The sequence below is a fragment of the Homo sapiens genome, chromosome 4 (assembly GCF_000001405.40).
Source record: "Homo sapiens chromosome 4, GRCh38.p14 Primary Assembly".
In the NCBI taxonomy this organism is placed as follows: Eukaryota; Metazoa; Chordata; class Mammalia; order Primates; family Hominidae; genus Homo; species Homo sapiens.
The window spans coordinates 107067575-107076231 of record NC_000004.12 but is presented as its reverse complement, the minus strand read 5'-3'; the positions used below and the strand labels follow the sequence as shown (position 1 = coordinate 107076231).

Genomic DNA, 8657 nt, shown 5'->3' with positions numbered 1-8657 from the left:
CTCCCACTTATGAGTGAGAACATGCAGTGTTTGGTTTTCTGTTCCTGTGTTAGTTTGCTGAGAATGATGGTTTCCAGATTCATCCATGTCCCTGCAAAGGACCTGACCTCATCCTTTTTTATTGCTGTGTAGTATTCCATGGTGTGTATGTCTCACATTTTCTTTATCCAATCTATTATTGATGGGCATTTGGGTTGGTTCCAAGTCTTTGCTATTGTGAATAGTGCTGCAATAAACATACGTGTGCATGTGTCTTTATAGTAGGATGATTTATAATTCTTTGGGTATATACTCAGTAATGGGATTGTTGGGTCAAATGGTATTTCTGCTTCTAGATCCTTGAGAAATTGCCACACTTTCTTCTACAATGGTTGAACTAATTTACACTCCCACCAACAGTGTAAAAGCATTCCTATTTCTCCACATCCTCTCCAGCATCTATTGTTTCCTGACTTTTTAATGATTGCCATTCTAACTGGTGTGAGATGGTATCTCATCGTGGTTTTGATTAGCATTTCTCTCATGACCAGTGATGATGAGCTTTTTTTCCTATGTTTGTTGGCTGCATAAATGTCTTCTTTTGAGAAGTGTCTGTTCATATCCTTTGCTGACTTTTTGATGGGGTCGTTGTTTTTTTCTTGTAAATTTGTTTAAGTTCTTTATAGATTCTGGATATTAGCCCTTTGTCAGATGGATAGACTGCAAAAATTTTCTCCCATTCTGTAGGTTGCCTGTTCACTCTGATGATAGTTTCTTTTGCTGTGCAGAAGCTCTTTAGTTTAATTAGATCCCATTTGTCAATTTTGGCTTTTGTTGCCATTGCTTTTGGTGTTTTAGTCATGAAGTCTTTGGCCATGCCTATGTACTGAATGGTATTGCCTAGGTTTTCTTCTAGAGTTTTTACAGTTTTGGGTCTTATGTTTAAGTCTTTAATACATCTTGAGTTAATTTTATCTCCATTATTAATCACTTTACATAGCCGCAGTCTCTTTGGGTGTTTATATTTTTCTTATTGATTTGTAGAAGCATAGTTTTGAATAGGGATATCACCCATGTGACTGATATATATTATCCCTCCAAATGGCCTTGTTTTACTCTTTAGAAATTGTATAATAATAAGTTGATGAATATTTTCCTGTATTAAAATTTTCTTTAAAAATATTTCTAATGTTTCTCACTCCAGTTCTTAAGCAGAGAGGCAGTGAAGTACAGGGCCAGGCCACCTGTATTCAAACACTCACTCTGTCCCTTACTAGTTTCATGTCCTGTGGGAGTTTATGTAACTCCTGAGGTTCCTTCTTGTCAATCCTGAGTTCATCTCTCACCTCTTTCTTCCTTATACTCTGTGCTTAGGCATCCTTTAATGATGTTAAGCTCTCACTTGCCATGAGGCTTTTGTACATTATAGAACACTCCCCTCTGACTTTTCACCCTATGATTCCTCAAGTCTTCATGTAAATGTACTTTTTTTATTTCACAAACAAAGGGTAAGTTTTAGGGGCAGACACTGCAGGTTGAGTCAAAAACGATTTCCAACAAATCAGACACAGAAAAACAAATATTACATGGTCTCACTCCTAAGTGGCAGCTAAATAACATGTACACATGGACATAGAGTGTGGAGTGATAGACAGTGGAGACCTGAAGGGGTGAGGCAATTGGAAGGGGGTGGATGATGAGAAATTGTGTCCAGAATTGGTGGGTTCTTGGTCTCACTGACTTCAAGAATGAAGCCATGGACCTTCACAGTGAGTGTTACAGTTCTTAAAGGCAGCATGTCTGGAGTTTGTTCCTTCTGATGTTAGGATGTGTTCGGAGTTTCTTCCTTCTGGTGGGTTCGTGGTCTCGCTGGCTTCAAGACTGAAGCTGCAGACCTTCGCGGTGAGTGTTACAGCTCTTAGGGTGGCGCGTCTGGAGTTGTTCTTTTTTTCCAGTGGGTTTGTGGTCTCGCTGGCTTCAGAAGTGAAGCTGCAGACCTTCACGGTGAGTGTTACAGTTCATAAAGGCAGTGTGAACCCAAAAAGTGAGCAACAGCAAGATTTATTGCAAAAAGCAAAAAAGTAAAGCTACCACAGTATGGAAGGGTACCCAACCTCGGTACCAGTGCTGGCTCAGGCAGCCTGCTTTTATTCCCTTATCTGGTCCCACCCACATCCTGCTGATTGGCCCATTTTACAGAGAACCAATTGGTCTGTTTTACAGAGAGCTCATTGGTCCGTTTTGACAGGGTGCTGATTGGTGTATTTACAATCCCTGAGCTAGACACAAAAGTTCTCCAAGTCCCCACTAGATTAGCTAGACACAGAGCACCGATTGGTGCGTTTACAAACCTTGAGCTAGACACAGGGTGCTGATCGGTGTATTTACAATCCCTTAGGTAGACATAAAGATTCTCCAAGTCCTCACCAGATTAGCTAGATACAGAGTGCTGATTGGTGCATTTACAAACCTTGAGCTAGACACAGGGTGCTGATTGGTGTGGTTACAAACCTTGAGCTAGACACAGAGTGCTGATTGGTGTATTTACAATCCCTTAGCTAGACACAAAGGTTCTCTAAGTCCCCACTAGACTCAGGAGCCCAGCTGGCTTCATCCGGTGGATCCCTCACCAGGGATGCAGGTGGAGCTGCCTGCCAGTTCCGCGCCATGCGCCCTCACTCCTCAGCCCTTGGGTGGTCAATGGGACGGGCACCATGGAGCAGGGGGTAGCGCTCCTCGGGGAGGCTCGGGTCGCGCGGGCCAGGGTGGGGGGAGGGGGAGTGGTGGTGGGGAGGGGGATTGGTGGGGGTGGGGGGGAGGGGGATTGGTAGGGGTGGGGGGGAGGGGGATTGGTAGGGGTGAGGGGGAGGGGGGAGGGGAGGCTTAGGCATGGCGGGCTGCAGGTCCTGAGTCCTGCCCCCCACAGAGGCAGCTGAGGCCTGGCGAGAATTCGAGCACAGCACTGGTGGGCCAGCACTGCTGGGGGACCCAGTGCACTCTCCGCAGCTGCTGGCCCGGGTGCTAAGCCCCTCACTGCCGGGCGGGCTGTGCTGGCCGCCGCTCAGAGTGCGGGGGCCACCAAGCCCACTCCCACCCCGAACTCACGCTGGCCTGCAAGTGCCACGTGTAGCCCTGGTTCCCGCCCACACCTCTCCCTCCACACCTCCCCACAACCTGAGGGAGCCGGCTTCCGCCTTGGCCAGCCCAGAAAGGGGCTCCCACAGTGCAGCGGCAGGCTGAAGGGTTCCTCAAGCGTGTCCAGAGTGGGTGCAGAGGCTGAGGAGGCGCCAAGCGTGAGCGAGGGCTGCAAGGGCTGCCAGCATGCTGTCACCTCTCAAAATTACCTTAGGAATAAAATGTACATTATTTGGATGATGGATGCTCCAAAGCCCTAACTTCACCACTATGGAATCTTTGCACATAACTAAATTGCCCTTGTTCCCCAAGCATTTATACAAATAATTTTAAAACACCTGCACTAAAGCAAACAAACAAACATAAAACTATTTCCAAATCCCCTCACATTTTCTTTCTTTACTGTAGAGCAGAGAATATCAAAGTGTGGCCCTAGGATCCACAGCATCAGCTTTATCTGAAAACTTGTTAAAATCGTTAAAACCTACTGTATTAGAACTCTGCAAGTGGGGTCCAGCAATGTTTTAATAAGTTCTCCAGGTGATTATGAAACATACTAGAGTTTGAGAACCTCTGCTATTGAAAGCAGAATAAGTAGAATGCCAATACTCATTCCCCAGCTTCCCTTGATGCTAGAAGTGGTCACGTGGCATAATTCTGGCTGATGAAAATTAAGTGACCTTTGCTGGTAAGGGTCCTGAGAAAGATTTTTCTGTCTTCAAAAGAAAAAAATAAAAAAGACAGATGCAGTGGGATGGCTCTTTGCCTTTCTCCCTTCTTGCTGTCTACAGTATAAGAAATGCTCGGAGGTGCAGCAAGCATTTCACAATACCTGAATACCTGATAGCTTTGTTAAGCAGCTGAGCTAATTAGAAGAAATTAACACCTTTTTTCTTTTGTATCCTGAATTTTACATTATATATATATATAATATATATATATTAGTTAAAAAAGTTGAAAAATATAAATGCATTTATCTTTTTTTGTTGTTGTTGTTTTGAGATAGAGTCTTGCTCTGTCACCCATCCTGGAGTGTAGTGGCACGATCTCAGCTCACTGCAGCCGCTGCCCCCCGGGTTCCAGCAATTCTCCTGCCTCAGCCTCCTGGGTAGCTGAGATTACAGGCACACTCCACCACACCTGGCTAATTTTTGTATTCTTAGTAGAGACGAGGTTTCTCCATGTTGGCCAGGCTGGTCTCAAACTCCTGACCTCAGGTGATCCAGCTGCCTCTGCATCCCAAAGTGCCGGGATTACAGGTGTGAGCCACCGCATCAGACCATATAAATGCATTTCTATTTACAGTCATATGCTCTAGGAATTACCCTGAGAAACCCTCTTGTTACCATCTTTAGACATGTTCAATTGAATATAAAATACCTTATTTAAATGTAAGCTACATAAACCAAGAGAGAACTGAAGCCAGAGAGGTAAGTGGGAGTGTAGGCAATGATATTTCAGGAATGGACAGTTGGAGACAACTGGGAGTTAAGGTTTAAAGAGCCATGCAGGGGAAGTAGAGAAGACCTACCTACCCAACTGTGGATTCAGGCTGAGATCATAGCATTAAGTGGGGTAAGGGTGATAAAGGGAAAAAAGTTTCCCACCAGCAAAGGTAGATAGCAAGAAAACTTGATCATCATAGCCTAGATTCTGGAAAGAAAAACAAAATCTCTCTTGACAGTACTTATCTATGACTCATCTACAAATAAGCTAGGTGTTTTAATTTCCTGTGCAATCTTGAAATTAACATAAAAAGTGGTCTCAAGTTACTTACACATTTAGAGCACCTGGCTAAAACAAAAACAAAACTTCCCTAAAGGGATATACCCTCAATGCAGATGGTACTTCCAGAGATAAAGTCTCACAGAACATGAGGTCATAATCTAAATTTATAATGAACACAAGAATATAATTCACTACAAACAGCACATGACACAAGAGCAGAATCAGACCCTGCAGAATGTCAGATTCCTTAGACTTAAAAGACAGAGAATATAAAATAATATGCTTAAATCGTAAAACATTTACCATTTACATAACATAAAGAAAAAATCTGAGACTTGGACTTCTTGGTAGCAGTGAAAGGGATAAGAAGTTCTGGATATGTTTTGAAGGTAGAGTTGGCAGCATTTGCTAATGAATGAGGTGTGAATATATGAGGATATGAGGTGTGAAAAAAATTTCAGGTTTGGGGCATGGTTTTTGATCTAAATAATTGGAATAATATACACTAAAGCTAAAACAGTATTACAGTTAAAGAAGATAAGATGATTTCTTCATTAGGAAGACACGAGTTCTCTACACTTACGTGTACTGAAGAAAAGAGCCTCTGAGTATGTGATAAAATTGACAGAATTACAAGGAGTTATTGAGAAACCCACTATCATAGTGGAAAATGTTTAAGAAACTTCCCATAGTAATTAAAAGAGCAAAGAGAAAAAAGTAGAAATATAAATTATTTTAACAGCACATTTAAAATTTGATCTAATGGACATATATTAAGCTCCTATACTCAATAATGAGTGAATACACACTTTTACACATGTATGGTATTTACAAATATTGAAGTCATATTGAGCAATGAAACAAGGGTCAGCAAATGCCAAAACATCAAGATCACAAAGACAACATTTTCTGACCACAATGTTGTAGAGTTAGATATTAATGACAAAACATAATTAACTCCCTCAATGTATTTAAACATTCTAAAACATGTTCTAAATAATTTATGGATCAAAAAATCAATAAAAATAACAAAATATTTATTTCTTATTTAAAACATTTTATCTATCAAACTTTGTGAGTGGCAATTAAATTAGTATTTGAGAAAATGTGTAGTATCAAAAGCTCATATAATAAAATACAAATTTTATTTTCATCACATATGTAAGTGCTTTAAATTGCTGTTGAAAATGTTGTCTAGGACATAACCTAGTGCTGAGACCTCCTTCCATGTTAATGTAGACAGTCATCTTTTTATATGGTTTTAACACCAAGTGTGAATACACCTATGTGTATTATAAAAAAGAACGCTTTTATGCACAGTTGATTATGTCAATTTCTAAAGTTTCCATCAATACTTGCCTTTATCTTATGATCCATCTGAACCACTTAGGTGTTCCAAGCACATTGTTCCCTCTGTTTGGAATACCCTTCTCCTTTTATTTTCCTGGAAAATCCTCACCTTTTATTCACCTCCTATCAAGATATTCTTTTTGTGATTGTGGTCTTTAGCTTTACTCTCAACTCATCACTCTCTCCTCTGTACCATATCAGTTTCATATACTTTTATCTATTTCATAGATAGAATTGTATTGCAATGACTTTCATATACCTATCTTTTCTACTGACCTAAACATTTTGAGGGAAAATACCATATCTTAATCAGCATTAGCATAGTGCCTGACATATAGTATGTGCTCAGTGAATAGCTATTAAAGTCAAGCAAAGGTAAATTATGCAATCCTTCTGCCTTCTTTCTTCATGCATAAAGTAAAATGAATGATGTCTAAAATTTTCTTTTACTCTAATATAATTATTCTATATAGCTACTAGTCTATCTCTCTAGGGTATTATCAGAAAAGACTTTAAGAAAATATAAGAAGGGAGAGAAAGAGAGTCAGAGACAGAGAGAGAGAGAGGAAATAAAGATCAATATGCTTACAGAGCTTAAACTTTGCAGATAAATTCAACAAAATTCATAAAGGGAGGAAAGGAGAGAGTTGGACAGAAAGATGGGAAGCATTAATATTTAGGAAGTGTGAGAAATAAGGTCAATTCATGAAAGATTTAGATAAGAATCTACATAGGGAGCGGAGCCAGGACACTGAGTCAGAGAAGCCAAAGGAAAGACTGAGTGGGTGTCACTGAGAGGAGTGCGGATGTTGTAAGTGAAACAAAGTGGTTAAGAAGATGAGAAGTGAGAAAGGAGCTCTAGTTGAACCTTGAGCAACATAGGTTTGAACTATATGGCTCCACTTACACGTAGATTATTTTCAACCAAACTAGGGTCAAAAATACAGTATTTGTGCAATGAGAAATCTGCATATATGGAGGGTCAGCTTTTCCTGTATGTGGGTCCACAGGACCCACTGAGTATGCGTGATTTTAGTATACGCAAGGGTACTGGAACCTACCCTCCCATATACGGAGGGACAACTGTGTGTATTTGGCTGTCGGCTGGTAAAGGATTATATTTTTGTACTGGGCCATAGTAGATGTCATTAGAACTAAATGAGGGTTAAATATTTGGGGGTTTGGGGTGGACAGGGAATTTTTATAATTTAGAATAATTACAAAGAAAAAGAGCTCTGGAAAACCTTTCTTTTTTTGTTTTAGAAAAAGCCATTTATTTTTAAAGGAGGCACTTTCAAAATCTTTATCCAAAGTAAAAAAAAATTCATACTTTACCATAATTTCTCTAATTATCTACATGACTTTATATATTTTCTTTCTGTTTATTCAGGATAAATCTTCATTCTCTTTGGAGAAAAGTGTAAACACAACATATGTTACATTATTTCAAAGTTATCAACTGTACTTTCAGAATACACTTAGTTATGTTATATGTTACACTCCCTAACACTAAATTCTGATGGTTTCATTGTATCACAATGAAAGTCAGGGTGGGCTTAAGAAAAAAAGTGAAACTTTCAGAATGCACATTTGCTATTGATTATGAGAATGTGTCAGATTTGTGTGGGGGGAAGAGGGAAGGGTGAATTGTGCATGATCTATTAATAAGAAACAGTTTAATGCAGTAGATCACTAAAGCATGGCTAATTCTGAAGCCAAAAGCCACACATTCTTAACTTTCCCCCCTAGCTTTAGAACCAGTCTCCACACACTCCCTACAGGAACTGGAACATTACTCTTTGAAAGCAAAGCCGGTGTTTAGAAAATCTGAAATTGAACTAACAGCACAGCATATAGAAGTCACACAGGATGTTATTTTAAACTGTAATGCAGAAATGTCAGTTCCTTTGATATCTTTATTTGTTACATGTGGGCTTGAAGAAAGTGTGTTATGTACGCTTTAGCTTTACATAAACTGTGTTACAGGGTATTTTCAACTGTCAGGGAAGTTTGAGACCCATCAAAAAACAAGATCTTTGCTAATAGTTTTAAAAACTTGGAGAAAAGAACATACAATGATTTCTCTCATTTATTCCACTTGTAAAGATTATATTTAAAAATATCACTCAGGAGTGATTCAGAAAGGATGTCTAACTGGAAAAAATCATACAGCGTTTTAATTGATTTAAATCAATTTAAATGGCTACATAATTTAAACATCTAACTCATGTTCTATCAACCTGCCCCCTCTCCATTGCACACAAGTCAAAGATTTAAACACACAATTGGATCTAAAGGAAGAGTCGTGCAATATCCAGAGGTGGTGAATATCACGTTTAATTGGTCATATTTAATTGATGAATGCTTATGCTACTCTCCAAGCACTAAGGTTGAAATGTCTTATGTAGTACACACTCTGCACTTAGATTTTCTCCCTTTATTTCATTACCAATTTGTTTGACTTC

The 8657-nt window shown here is 39.6% G+C and overlaps 1 annotated feature.

Moving 5' to 3' along the window:
- Positions 2650-3150: an enhancer, noted in NCBI's record as "H3K27ac-H3K4me1 hESC enhancer chr4:107994239-107994739 (GRCh37/hg19 assembly coordinates)". NCBI's record gives its function as "activates a minimal SCP1, AML or CMV promoter by ChIP-STARR-seq in naive H9 embryonic stem cells {active_cell/tissue: H9 hESC(naive)}" and the evidence as "EXISTENCE:reporter gene assay evidence [ECO:0000049][PMID:30033119]".